A 14,937-nucleotide genomic window follows, 5' to 3' on the forward strand; every position below is an offset into this window, starting at 1 on the left:
GCCTGATATTGCTTTTTTTTTTTTTTTGAGACAGAATCTCGCTCTGTCGCCCAGGCTGGAGTGTAGTGGTGTGATCTTGGCTCACTGCAACTTCCGCCTCCTGGGTTCAAGCAATTCTCTGCCTCAGCCTCCCAAGTAGCTGGGATTACAGGCGCCTGCCACCACACCCGGCGATTTTTTTTGTATTTTTAGGAGAGATGAGGTTTCACCATCTAGGCATGGCTGGTCTTGAACTCCTGACCTCATGATCCACCCACCTCGGCCTCCCAAAGTGCTGGGATTACAGGCATGAGCCACCGTGCCCAGCCTGCCTTTCGACATTGTATATGAGACACTAAACCCCTTAAGCTATTTTCAGTAGGGTACTCTGTTATTTATGGCTGAAATAATTTCAAATGATATATATATATATACATACAGTACAAGAAAAATGATCCATCTAAAGAATGCATGTGTTAAGTCCAAATGCATAAAATGGGCAAGGGTACAAGTAGAAGTAGTCCAAAGAAAAGAGCTTTTGAAGTAAGTTAAATCCTCTGCAAAATTCAGGTCCTGTTAATATATACAAAGTCTGAAGTTTAAAGAAATACATTAGAAAAAAATGTATCTTGCATATGATACAGAAAAGAACGTCTATCACTATTTCTTCTAATTAAAAGATGACAAAACTAGCAAAAGCAAGCTAGGTGCTGAATATTCCACAGTATGTTCCCACAGTTATATTAAATACTAATAGTTATTAAACTTGTGGCTTAAATCACCTCTCCTACCCTAGTCCAATCTGTATGCTGCACTCTGCCAGCAGCTCTCACAGCTTAGCAACAAAAAACAGGGTCGTAACACTTGGGGATGTTCAAGAAGAACTTGTTTGGCCCATCATTTTTCAAATCAGTTCATTTACACTCAGTTCACAGTCGCTACTGATGAATGTTTGTGTCATCTAAGTTCAATACCCAAACAGCAAGCACAGCATCTCTGTGGGAAATGACTGGTAAACCTCCAGGAAAAAAAACCCTCAGTGTTCTTTTCATGGCTTATAGATGCTCTCTATAGACCTCCAAATTTGAAAGGCATCTATAGATACAAGGCTTGCATTTATTGAATAGATAGGCACTAAGAGTAACCTGTGGTTCTTTTTGTGGGTAGGATTTATGCTGAACTATATGGCATTGGTTAACTACTTCTAAGGGACTGGCTAATGTCTCAGTTCAATATTTACCTATTGAGAGTGCAACCACTCCATGCAAGCTTTAAATTAGTTCTGCATATGATCTGCAATTATAATTTTTCTAGCTATAGATTAATATTTTTAAAATGTACTTATTTTTCACAGATCCCATCCAGTGTACAAAATTGATTTTTATTTTATATTTTAGGAACAGGGTTTCATCATGTTGCCTAGAGTGCAATGAAACTGAACTCAAGTGACCCTCTTGCCTCAGCCTCCCAAGTTAGGTGGGAATACAGGCATGCGCCACCAAGTTTGGCTTTGCAAAGTGATATATAACTTCACTCTTTTTCAGAATAAGGTAACAGCAAGTAATGCATTTTAACCTCTTGTTCAAACCATATAGTAGTGTATATATGTTTATTAGAGGTTCTAATGTATTATTAAAATATTTTTCTCAGCCCCACTTGAACATCTGATAGCTTTGAAGGGCGGCTCTGGGAGTAACAGTGGGTGTTATCAATAGTCTTCTAAAATGTAAGCTTCCCAAAGGACTAGAAAAAAAATCCAAGACATATATTCAAATGTATTCTTAAGGATCACTCTATAAAAATAGAGAGTTGTGAATCTGCATCTGCCAGTGATACGCAGTGGGTAGCAAGTCATTTAACTGACTTGGTTATAGACCTTCGTATTTTAACGTATCTGCTACATCATAATATCACAATATGGAATAGTTCTTGCATAAAGTGCTCTGTAAAGCCTGTCTGCATAAATGTTTAATGCAGTACACTGGTAAAATAAGTCAAAACGTGTATCACTTGTTAAATGAAAGATTATACCAATCCAAAATAACTTCTACCAGAAAGAAATAAATACTGCATTGTTTTGTTGATAAAGTGTTTCAGAAGTTAGATTATTACATAAACCCAACTTCTAAGGCAGATAATGTTTTAAGTGATGATAGTCTTGTTGTTGGTATTCCCTGAGAATACAATCATTTTACCACTTAAAGTCAAAAATTTCCCCAGACAGTTGTAGCTCTTGGTAATCTCCTTGGGTCTGGAAACTTTTGAAGAGCCAAGCTGACATTTTTCAGCTCTTTGGGCCACTGGGTTTTAGAGGGAGAAGTCCAGAGATAAGTCCAGGCTGTAGCACAACCTTCAAAACAACACAGGCGCCTCTCTGATCCTGCCCTACCTAAGCTTTGACGGTAGTGGGGCTTCTGTCTGGAGAAATGCCTTCAAAGAGTAACCAGTAGGTGTGACATAGAATTGGCCAATGTTAGCATCTGCAGCCATCATCAAAAGATGAATCCACTGCCACTGCCCCCTGAGGGGCCCCTAAAATTGCAGAAGGTATCAGCAAGGAGGCTGCCAAGGTTGTTTTCCAAGAGAGGCCACAGGAGGAAGGGAGCTACTTGGGGGCACTTACATCTTTTGTGCAGAGGAGCTTCTTTTCATGAGAGCAGGACAGTTTTAATGACTTCTTAAACACTTGTGTGGGACAGGCTGGAGCATGAGGGAGGTTTTAAGCCAGGCACAAAGTTAGTTTCAAACACTAGTTAATAAATCTATTTTTATTTCCTTTTTCACACAGAAGCTGGTAGTCTAGGACCTACATGTAAACAACTTTATATGAATATTTTTTGTGCTTGGTTTACTTGGGTTGATATAATACACTGTATTTAAGTTCCCTGAACACTGGGATACTCCTAATGTTTATGAATGACGGAGGCTTTGTAAATTCATTTGTGTGAATAAAGTTATTTGGTGAGGTCAAATAATCCATATATGATTTGAAAAAAAAAAAGGTCAAAATTTTAAAGACAATTAACTGGAAATATTATATATCAGAAATTGAAAAAAAGTATTGGATAGAAGTTATAAATAAATCAAGCATAATATCTGGCATACCTGCTGCATGAATAGGTGTCCTCTTCAAAATGTAATCTTTTACTAAGATTGAGGCTCCCTGATTAATGAGTACATCCACACATTCAACATGGCCCTTAAAAGCTGCAAGATCTAGGGGTGTTCTTCCACTACTATTTCTGACATCAAGATCTAACAAAGACTGTACCAACACTTCCAGTGCTTGATGGTGACCATGATAGGCCTAGAAATAAATAAAAATGTAAATTTAAAACATACATATTTAGACTGACTTCCTAAATACTTGAATAAATGTAAATAAGCAAACTTGTCTTCATATTATTATCCTACTTGAGATAATCCAAACTTCTACATCGAGAATTCAGGAAGTTAACTACAGATCTTTCTAATAATCAACATAGTAGGCTACTGTGTTAGGGAACAGGCATTCTAAAAATAATACAAGTTCAAATGACAGGTCATCTTTTCATGAGTATACAATGCTTGGCTCACGGCAGACATTCAATGGATGTGTGACACGGATTCATTTAAAGTCTTGATTTCAAGTCTGATTCTAAAAAGCCTGTGTTTTTTTTGTTTTGTTTTGAGACAGGGTCTTGCTCTGTTGCCCCAGCTGGAGTCCAGTGGCGTGATCATAGCTCACTGCAGCCTTGACCTTCTGGGCTTAAGTGATCCTCCCACCTCAGCCTCCTGAGTAGCAGGGACCAGAGGTACACGTCACCATGCCCAGCTAATTTTTCTTTTAATTTTTGTAGTGATGAGGGTCTCGCTATGCTATCCGGGCTGGTCTCAAAATTCCTGGCCTCAAGTCATCCTCCTACCTTGGTCTCTCAAAGTGCTAGGAATACAGGCATGAGCCACTGTGCCCAGCCAAGCCTGTGTTCTTAATCACAGTTCAGTGCTCCACATCAACTGCAAAGACAGCTAGCAACTTGAGTCAGTGCTTGAATATTCGGATTTCTCAAATTAAACTGACCATACCCACCCCATAATGTGCCATAGCTAAAAAAGAAGTAATTCTTTTAGCAAAGAAATGCATAACCGAGCCCTGCTTGAATATCACCACATACCAGGCATTGTCCTAGCTGTACAAAAGTAAGACTGAAGATTTGTCAGACTGAAGTTGTCTTTTTTTTTTTTTTTTGAGACGGAGTCTCACTCTGTCACCAGGCTGGAGTGCAGTGGCACAATCTCAGCTCACTGCAACCTCCGCCTCCCTGGGTTCAAGCGATTCTCCTGTCTCAGTCTCCCGAGTAGCTGGGATTACAGGCGCATGCCACCATGCCCCAGCTAATTTTTGTATTTTTAGTAGAAACGGGGTTTCACCATGTTGGCCAGGATGGTCTCGATCTCTTGACCTTGTGATCCGCCCGCCTCGGCCTCCCAAAGTGCTGGGATTACAGGCGTGAGCCACTGCGCCCGGCCCCGAGTTGCCTTCTTCATACAGTCTAATAAAAGGGCTTTCCAGAAAAGTCTTTTCAAAATCCAACATGGCAACTGAACATATATTATTTACACTGGACTAAATGCTGAGCAGGACATAAAGAAATAAATAAACTTCAAAGGACTATAATGCCATTTCTTGTAGAAAATGTCAGAAAGTAGCAGCAAGAGATAAACTTGCTCTGGGCCTCACTGATCTCTTTATAATGAATCTGTGTAGAAACTTGACTACTTAAGCTTGACTATCTCAAAGATTAAAGTGACTGTAGGTCACGGAATTCTACTGTTTTAGGATTACATCTAACTTTGTTCCTCAATACTAGGTCAATGAAAATTATGCTACTGAAAGAATGAACTCTGAGGAATCATACATTAAATATAAAAGACAATATAAAAAGAAGAGTTTAGCCAGTTGTGGTGGCTCACACCTATAATCCCAGCACTTTGGGGAGGCTGAGGTGGAAGGATCATTTGAACAGGAGTTTGGGGCCAGCCTGAGCAACACAGTGAGATCTCATCTCTGCCAAAAATAAATAAACAAACAAATAAATAAGCTGGACCTGGTGGCACATGCCTGTGGTCCCAGCTATGCAGGAGGCTGAGGCGGAAGTATCACTTGAGTCTAGGAGGTACAGGCTGCAGTGAGCTGGGAATGCACCACTGCAACCCAGCCTGGGTGACAGAATGAGATTGTATCTCTAAATAAAAAAAAAAAAAAAAAAAAAATGAGGTTGGGCATGGTCACTCACACCTATATCTCAGCACTTTGGCAGGCCAACACAGGAGGATTACTTGAGGCCAGGAGTTTGAGACTAGCCTGGGCAACAGTGAGACCTTGTCTCTACAAAAAAATAAAGAATTAGTCGGGAATGGTGGTGTGCACCTATAGTCCTAGCTACTCAGAAGGCTGAGGGAGGGAGGCTCACTGGAGCTCAGGAATTCAAGACTGTAGTGAGCCGTGATTGTGCCACTACACTCCAGCCTGGATGACAGAGTGAGACAATGAAAAACAACAGCAAAAATAAATAAAAAATAAAAATGAAAAGACAAGAGAAATAAATGGGAGCCATGATGATTTGCCACAGGGCTTTTCCCCCCATGATATCCTTGTATGGGACTGAGAGAAGAAGTCCAAATGTCCAGTATGACTAAAATTAGGAATCAAGGCCAGTCTCCTTAAGCCTCAGATCAGTATGTTTTCACTGTACCAAGTTGTCCCGAATGGGAGAGTTTCGTGTAAGAAATTAAAGTAACTTCTGAAAACCTCCTAGAGATAGATATGAAATGCAAAAGTGGTGGTATAATCATATTTCATTAAGCCTAATCACTAAATTATTTCAATTTTTAGTTTAAAAACACTATTTAGTATACCTATGGCATAGCAGCACTTATTCATAATAGCCAAGAGAAGAAAGCAACCCAGCATCTATTGTCAGATGAATGGATAAAGAAAAATGTGCTATATACATAACAATAATTATTCAGCTTAAAAATAAGGAAATTCAGCCACATGCTACAACATGGATGAAACCTGCTAGATGAAATAAGCCAGTCACACAACACAAAAAAATACTGTTATGATTCCACTTAAATGAGGTGTCTAGATTAGTCAAATTCATAGGAACAGAAGGTAGGCTAGTATTACCAGGGACTGGGGAAAGGAGAAACAGGGAGATGTTTAATGGGTACAGAGTTTTAGTTTTAACCTTTACAAGATAAAAAGATTCTGGAGATTGGTTGTACAGTAATGTAAATATACTTAACACTGCTGAACTGTACAATTAGAAATGGTTAAGAAGGTACGTTTTATGCTATGTTTTCTTTTTTCTACCATTACCACCATATACACATACAAAATCTCTGACAAAAAAATAGTAATGGGGGGGCAGAGAGAGAGAGAGAGAGAGAGACCGACCCACTAATCAATGTATAGCACACTGTTAACTTGCAAGCACAAAAAGAGAAACTTGCCAAATTGAAGGGTGGGGTAGAATACAAATGAGAATTTCTAAGGAAACAACATCATTAAACTGATAACTAAGTCCTAAAGACTGCAGGGCTTTTGGGAGTCTTTAATATGCTACTAGTTGAATCTCCACAAGGCGGAAATAGTCTGGCACCTAGAAAGTGCTCAAGAAATGACAGTGAAATTATTATAATGAGAATGCTGCTGCTGCTGCTGCTGCTAATGCTGCTCAGTCTTCATTTCTTTTCATCAATAGTAAAATGGCTATTTCTTCCATGCTGGCTTTGCCTTTTCAGACTTATTTACTATGCATGTCTGGGAGAGGTGATGGTGTTTCCAAGGACTCAAAGGGCAAAGAAGTAGAAAGCTTCAAGAATGCTTTCTTAGTTATTTAGAACATGATAGGAAGTATCAGTAGGGAGAAATGGCAGAAAATTTAATGTATATATGTCAGTGTTAAAACACCCGCAAGGAGAATATTAAGATAAAAAATAATAGTACATATGAAAAGAAACAATCAAATGAATAACTGAACTTGTAGTGTTCCACATTAAATTAAGGATACATCCTTATAAGCATTTTACTAAAAATCATGGATCTCACAAACACCTGGTGAGAGTACCCTGGTCTCCTGATTCTCAAAGTACCCCCTTCCCTACAACTCTAACATGCTTTGTCTCAAAAATAAATTCTTTCTGTACAGGAAGCTAGATTAGGATCTACTTGAAATTTAAGGTAATAAATTCTCATTTGACTTAAAAAATTGTCACATTCTTCCCTAACCTTCTCCATTTAGTGATTGACACTGAAAAAAAATTTAGAGGAATCTTAAAGTGGAAGGGACATAACAGACAATGTAGCCAAATCCTATAGTGTGAGCAACTAAAGGACCAGTGAACACACAACAAGTTAGCACCCCAAGATCACAAAGTAAGCAAAAAATTGTAGAAATACCACAGAATGTGTGTGTATACCATCTGCTTAGCCAACTTATAAGGCATTCCACTAGGGCAGCACATTTTAAAATTCACCATCACAGGCATATTCTCCATATTTTCTCCCTTTCTCTCCCCAGAAGGCCCTGGGGGAAGCCTAAGGATCACTGTCTGTCTTTTTTTTTTTTTTCTAAAGCAAGAAACAGAAAAAACAAAAACAAAAACCCAGCACATTAAGTAATTCTCTGAATTAAAGAAAGTTCTCAAAGTTTTAATTCCATGATAACTATTACATGGACCAAAAGTTTATGGTACTAGTTTGAGTCAACACAAATAGGTTATTAGATATTTTCAGTAAACCAGCAGCCATCAAGTCGGCTATGAAGGCAGTACTCACAGCCAAGTGTAAAGGGCTTATTGTTGCTCTATTATCTGAATCACTCAGCATGTCTGTTCCTGAGGTTTCCATTAACTGAAAAAGAAGAGGCATTTTAAATGTCAGAAAGACATACTACAGCAATTATTCTCTCCCACCCACCCAGTTCAAATCCACCTTAGAGTATTATTTGGCAACTCAGCAAACTTATAAAACATGATTATTATGAAAGTATACTAAGGACCACAGACTAAGAGCTTTGAAGACAGGCATAAGAGTTTGGGGGAAATGCTACTTAATTGCCACCAAGTAAACATCTTCCTTTCCTCTGTACACATGATTTCTGTCACCGTCTTTGTGCCTAATATGTAAAAACACTTTCAGCTCTAATGAGAGCAAACAGATAAACATAACTGGTAGGAGGGAACTGACCAATACTAATTGGTGGGAGGGAATTGACTAATACTTACAACATCTAGAGGAGTTTCACTTGCAATCTGAAATAAAAGTCAAAACAAAAATATTTAGCTTGGGAAGTATTCATCTATATTAAGTCTCAACTTATATAGAGCTTTGCTAACTTTTACCCTAAACCCGTGCTTCCTTTGGCTCCAAAAAATTAGGTGTTTTGAATAAACAATTTTATATCACAACAGACGTCAAATCTATATACATAGGTCTAAAATTTTGGTGTGAATATCCATAACGTAGGAAAATAGTTATTTTTGTAGCAGGGCTCTAAGTGCTATATTAAATTGTCAACCTCCCTTTTCTTGTTTTATATCTACGCTCGTTGAATTTTATTTCCCCTTGAAGGGAAGCAAAGTTTAATGTAATTTATAAGGTAAGTCTAAATAAGAGCATCTTTAACCTAAAGTATCTGTTACACACATGAATATCTTTTCCTTGACTTTCCTTCTGGTTTGGTAAATTTGGGTGAATGGTGGTATTCTATTCCAGAATCAGACCACAGCAGAAATAAAAACGTCCTCTGCAGAAGTGGAGTCTCCCTTGTTAGGAGGGGTTGTGAAATAAATGTGCCTTTTGGAATTCCCTAAATATATGGGGGAGATATTCCTTTCACAGGGACTTTTATTTCTCACAAAAGACACAGTTATAGTTTTTTAGAAACTTATGAGGAATATTAATTTAAAGGGGCAGGAGAAGTAAATAGTGTAGACATGAACATGGGGTAATCAGTAGCCCTCTTCAGAGATCTAATTTTCTCCTTTTTTAAAAGGAAAAGAGAATGAGATATATCTTACTAAAGCAAGTGTGAATTTAAGAGGTATATAAATTCTGAAAATGTTAAAAAACAAAATGGAATTTGTTCCTTGATCCATTTATTCTCATTTTTGTTACATTATTAGACTATAAACTCCCATTAGGTCTTTCACAAGAATTCAGGAATCTTACCAGCTGAAGACATAGACGGTGACCATAAGCAGCTGAATAATGAACTGCGTTGTATCCTTGCTTATCACGGATCCCTGGATTTGCATCGTTTCTTAATAAGTATTCCAGGCACCTATATACAACAACAACAACATACTGAAAATCCTAAATCCTGCATATTAACCAATGATAAAAAGAGACTGAAATTAAAAACTGACAATTTTTCTTATACTTGAGTAATATAAAAATCATAAATGTATTACACTATAAAAATGTCATTTAAATGACACTGACTAAAGTATCATAAAAATGCAAATGAAACATTCATGAGAATCTTCTTGATTCAAAGTGGATACCTCAAAAGTCTGTCAGACAGCTTTTTTTTTCATATGTGAAGGCTATCTTTTACACAGTCTCTATCTATACCACCACCTATTCTACTAAACAATGTTGGATAGGATTAAACTTTTCGTGGTGGTGAGTACATAATATTGGCAATATTACTATTTATCTATCTAGAACACAGAATGAGTAAATTTTTCATCATGAAGCTCAAGAAAGGATGTTAAACAAAACAAAACCTCAAGAAACCAAGGTCAGAACTCAATGAATCTGAATTAGAGGACTAAGAAGAGGTATATAAACAGAGTAAAGTGGTAAGAAGGTATCCATAAGAGATACTTCATTTCATTTCTGTGATAATAAAATATGAGGAAAATAATTTTAAAAAACACTATATGTAAAACCACTATGGAAAACTGTATGGAGATTCCTTAAGGAACAAAAAGTAACACTACCATTTGATCCAGCAATCCCATTACTGAGTATCTACCCAGGGGAAAAGAAGTCATTATTTGAAAAAGGCACTTGCACATGCATGTTTATAGCAGTACAATTCGCAATTGCAAAAATATGAAACAAGTCTATTTAGGCTATCTATCAACGAACGAGTGCGTAAAGAAAATGTGGTATATATACACCATGGAATACTATTCAGACATAGAAAGGAACAAAATAATAGCATTTGCAGCAACCTGGAGTTGGAGATCATTATTCTAAGTGAAGCAATTCAGGGATGGAAAACGAATATCGTATGTTCTCGCTCATAAGTGGGAGCTATGAGGAGACGCGAAGGCACAAAAATGATAGAATGGACTTTGGGGACTCAGGGGGAAGTTCCCAAATTGTACCCAATATGTAGTCTTTTATCCATCATATTTTACTCCATGTGAGGGATAAAAGACTACACATTGGATACAGTGTACATTGCTCAGGGGACCAGTGCACCAAAATCTCAGAAATCATCAATAAAGAACTTATCTATGTAACCAAAAACCACCTGTTCCCCAGGAACTATTGAAATAAAATACAATAAAAATAAATTTAATCATGTGTTTGTTTTTTTTTTGCCATTGGTTCTGTTTATGTGATGGATTACGTGTATTGATTTGCGTACGTTGAACCAGCCTTGCATCCCAGGGATGAAGCCGAGTTGATTGTGGTGGGTAAGCTTTTTGATATGCTGCTGGATTCAGTTTGCCAGTATTTTATTGAGGATTTTCGCATTGATGTTCATCAGGGATATTGGCCTAAAATTCTCAAGGCTTTGGTATCAGGATGATGCTGGCCTCATAAAATGAGTTAGGGAGGATTCCCTCTTTTTCTATTGTTTGGAATAGTTTCAGAAGGAATGGTACCAGCTCCTCTTTGTACCTCTGGTAGAATTCGGCTGTGAATCCATCTGGTCCTGGACTTTTATTTGTTTGGTAGGCTATTAATTATTGCCTCAATTTCAGAACCTGTTATTTGTCTATTCAGAGATTCAACTTCTTCCTGGTTTAGTCTTGGGAGGGTGTATATGTCCAAGAATTTATCCCTTTCTTCTAGATTTTCTAGTTTATTTGCGTAGAGGTGTTTATAGTATTCTCTGATTGTAGTTTGTATTTCTTTGAGCTCGGTGGTGATATTCCCTTTATGTGTCTATTTGAATCTTCTCTTTTCTTCTTCATTAGTCTTGCTAGCGGTCTGTCTGATTATCTCAATAGATGCAGAAAAGGCCTTCGACAAAATTCAACAGCACTTCATGCTAAAAACTCTCAATAAACTAGGTATTGATGGAATGTATCTCAAAATAGTAAGGGCTAGTTATGACAAACCCACAGCCAATATCATACTGAATGGGCAAAAACTGGAAGCATTCCCTTTGAAAACTGGCACAAGACAGGGATGCCCTCTCTCACCACTCCTATTCAACATAGTGTTGGAAGTTCTGGCTAGGGCAATCAGGCAAGAGAAAGAAATAAAGGGTATTCAATTAGGAAAAGAGGAAGTCAAATTGTCTCTGTTTGCAGATGACATGAATGTATATTTAGAAAACCCCATCGTCTCAGCTCAAAATCTCCTTAAGCTGATAAGCAACTTCAGCAAAGTCTCAGGATACAAAATCAATGTGCGAAAATCACAAAGATTCCCATACACCAATAACAGACAAACAGAGAGCCAAATCATGAGTGAACTCCCATTCACAACTGCTACAAAGAGAGTAAAATACCTAGGAATCCAACTTACAGGGGATGTGAAGGACCTCTTCAGGCAGAACTACAAACCACTGCTCAATGAAATAAAAGAGGACATAAACAAATGGAAGAACATTCCATGCTCATGGACAGGAAGAATCAATATTGTGAAAATGGCCATACTACCCGAGGTACTTTATAGATTGAATGCCATCCCCATCAAGCTACCAATGACTTTCTTCACAGAATTGGAAAAAACTACTTTAAAGTTCATATGGAACCAAAAAAGAGCCCGCATTGCCAAGACAATCCTAAGCCAAAAGAACAAAGCTGGAAGCATCATGCTACCTGACTTCAAACTACACTACAAGGCTACAGTAACCAAAACAGCATGGTACTGGTAGCAAAAGAGGTATATAGAACAATGGAACAGAACAGAGGCCTCAGAAATAACACCACACATCTACAACCATCTGATTTTTGACAAACCTGACAAAAACTAGCAATGGGGAAAGGATTTCTTATTTAATAAATGGTGCTGGGAAAACTGGCTAGCCATATGTAGAAAGCTGAAACTGGATCCCTTCCTTACACTATATACAAAAATTAACTCAAGATGGATTAAATACTTAAATATTAGACCTAAAACCATAAAAAACCCTATTAGAAAACCTAGGGCATACCATTCAGGGCATAGGCATGGGCAAAGACTTCATGACTAAAACACCAAAAGCAATAGCAACAGAAGCCAAAATAGACAAATGGGATCTAATTAAACTAAAGAGCTTCTGCACAGCAAAAGAAACTATCATCAGAGTGAACAGGCAATCTACAGAATGGGAGAAAATTTTTGCAATCTACCCATCTGACAAAGGGCTAATATCCAGAATCTACAAAGAACTTAAATTCACAAGAAAAAAACAACCCCATGAAAAAGTGGGCAAAGGATATGAACAGACACTTCTCAAAAGATGACATTTATGCAGCCAATAGACATACAAAAAAATGCTCATCATCACTGGTCATCAGAGAAATGCAAATAAAAACCACAATGAGACACTATCTCACGCCAGTTAGAATGGCCATCATTAAAAAGTCAGGAAACAACAGATGCTGGAGAGGATGTGGAGAAATAGGCATGCTTTTACACTGTCAGTGGGAGTGTAAATTAGTTCAACCATTGTGGAAGACAGTGTGGTGATTCCTCAAGGATCTAGAACTAGAAATACCATTTGACCCAGCCATCCCATTACTGGGTATATACCCAAAGGATTATAAATCATGCTGCTATAAAGACACATGCACACGTATGTTTACTGCGGCACTATTTGCAATAGCAAAGACTTGGAACCAACCCAAATGTCCATCAATGATAGACTGGATTAAGAAAATGTGGCACATATACACCATGGAATACTATGCCACCATAAAAAAGGATGAGTTCATGTCCTTTGCAGGGACACAGATGAAGCTGGAAACCATCATTCTCAGCAAACTATCACAAGATCAGAAAACCAAACACTGCATGTTCTCACTCATACGTGGGAGCTGAACAAGGAGAACACATGGAGGGGAACATTACACACACAACTCTCACTCTTAAGTGGAAGTTGAGCAATGAGAACATGTGGACACAGGGAGGGGAACATCATACACCGGGGCCTGTCCGGGGTGGGGGCCTGGGGGAGGGATAGCATTAGGATAAATACCTAATGTAAATAATGTAAATGATGAGTTGATGGGTGCAGCAAACCAACATGGCACATGTATACCTATCTAACAAACCTGCACGTTGTGCACATGTACCCTAGAACTTAAAAGTATAATGACAAAAAAAAAAAAATTAATTAAAAAACACTATATAGGGCCGGGCGCGGTGGCTCATGCCTGTAATCCCAGCACTTTGAGAGGCTGAGGCGGGCAGATCATGAGGCCAAGAGATCAAGACCATCCTGGCCAACATGGTGAAATCTTGTCTCTACCAAGAGTACAAAAATTAGCTGGGTGTGGTGGCGGGCGCCTGTAGTCCCAGCTACTCGGGAGGCTGAGGCAGGAGAATTGCTTGAACTCAGGAGGCGGAGGTTGCAGTGAGCAGAGATCGCGCCACTGCACTCCAGCCTGGCGACAGAGTGAGACTGCAAAAGAAACACAACAGTATATAGGCCATAATTTACAATTTTAATACATTTTATTACAGCAGAAAAAAAAAGCACTGAAATAGCACTGGTACCAGTGATCTTGGGCCATAAAAGTGAAATAGCCTCTGTTTATTCATTTGATACATGGAGAAGCCAGCTAAATAATCTAAAGTGTATTCATGTTCAAATTCCAAGTCTATAATTATTCAGTGATAATTTGTTTGGTATTCAAATACGTCTACCCAAATATTAAACTACCTGGGGAAAAAATTCTTTAATCAAATACTCCTTATTAAAAGTTTCCAAAATCACACTGAAGTCATATAAAAACAAATGAAAAGAAATTCTAAAGCAATGTAACTGATCTTTCAGTAACTCTAGCTCACAAATATATGAGAGCCATTATTTCAATGCTAACACTTATTTCTTTAAATGCTGAATTTCTTAAAATGCTTTAGACCTCTTAGAAATTACTTTCAGAATCTTCATTGTAATATCTTCAATGGCAGCAAATATTCATCCATTTAAGTGCAATTTTGATATTTATGTACAGCTAAAATTCTTTGGAGTCAAGCATAATAAAAAAAAGAAGATTAAGCTGGGTGCAGTGGCTCATGCCTGTAATCCCAGCACTTTGGGAAGCGGAGGTGGGCGGAACACCTGAGGTCGGGAGTTCAAGACCTGCCTGACCAACATGGAGAAACCCCATCTCTACTAAAAATACAAAATTAGCCAGGCATGGTGGCACACACCTGTAATCCCAGCTCCTCGGGAGGCTGAGGCAGGAGAATCACTTGAACCCAGGAGGCGGAGGTTGCAGTAAGCTGAGATTGCACCATTGCACTCCAGCCTGGGCAAGAAGATCAAAACTCCGTCTCAAAAAATAAATAAATAAATAAATAAAATAAAAAGGTTAAAGTGGGTATCACTATGATAAAGAAATAAAATAAAACCCACGTCTGGCTCTAAGGTAATAAGACTGGTGTTTTGTTTTGTTTCACAAACTAATTCTGAGGACATGTCAGGAAAAGGAAGTGTTTCAGTCAGTGTGTAAACTCTGTACACAGCCTTCCTTGGTGCCGAATTCAGAGGACAGTGCTCACTG

The 14,937-nt window shown here is 38.1% G+C and overlaps 2 protein-coding genes and 1 non-coding gene across 39 annotated transcripts in view; 1 reads left to right on the plus strand and 2 right to left on the minus strand.

The window, feature by feature from the left end:
* Window positions 1–14,937, plus strand: part of BTD (biotinidase) — a 121,156-nt gene that overhangs the window by 85,574 nt on the left and 20,645 nt on the right. The window contains exon 4 of one of the 4 annotated variants that reach the window (NM_001407400.1): window positions 1,377–2,954. The exons of the other annotated variants lie outside the window; for them this stretch is intronic. Within the exon in view, the coding sequence (NP_001394329.1) occupies window positions 1,377–1,412 (36 nt within the window). The 3' untranslated portion in view covers window positions 1,413–2,954. Of the gene's footprint in view, window positions 1–1,376; window positions 2,955–14,937 lie in introns of those variants that run through there. 4 annotated transcript variants of the gene reach the window in all.
* Window positions 1–14,937, minus strand: part of ANKRD28 (ankyrin repeat domain 28) — a 192,579-nt gene that overhangs the window by 19,699 nt on the left and 157,943 nt on the right. For all 34 annotated transcript variants that reach the window (XR_007095653.1, NR_146111.1, NR_146112.2 and 31 more), the window contains 4 exons: window positions 9,200–9,311; window positions 8,254–8,280; window positions 7,805–7,879; window positions 3,085–3,286 (listed from right to left, as the gene is read on the minus strand). Coding sequence is in view for 30 of the 34 variants with exons in the window: in XM_047447807.1 (XP_047303763.1) it covers window positions 3,085–3,286; window positions 7,805–7,879; window positions 8,254–8,280; window positions 9,200–9,311 (416 nt within the window). In the remaining 4 variants the exon portion in view is untranslated. The remainder of the gene's footprint in view (window positions 1–3,084; window positions 3,287–7,804; window positions 7,880–8,253; window positions 8,281–9,199; window positions 9,312–14,937) is intronic.
* MIR3134 (microRNA 3134) lies at window positions 10,364–10,437 on the minus strand. The gene has a single exon (NR_036085.1). It is a non-coding gene; the product is annotated as a microRNA 3134 (primary transcript).

The sequence above is a fragment of the Homo sapiens genome, chromosome 3, assembly GCF_000001405.40.
Source record: "Homo sapiens chromosome 3, GRCh38.p14 Primary Assembly".
NCBI lineage: Eukaryota > Metazoa > Chordata > Mammalia > Primates > Hominidae > Homo > Homo sapiens.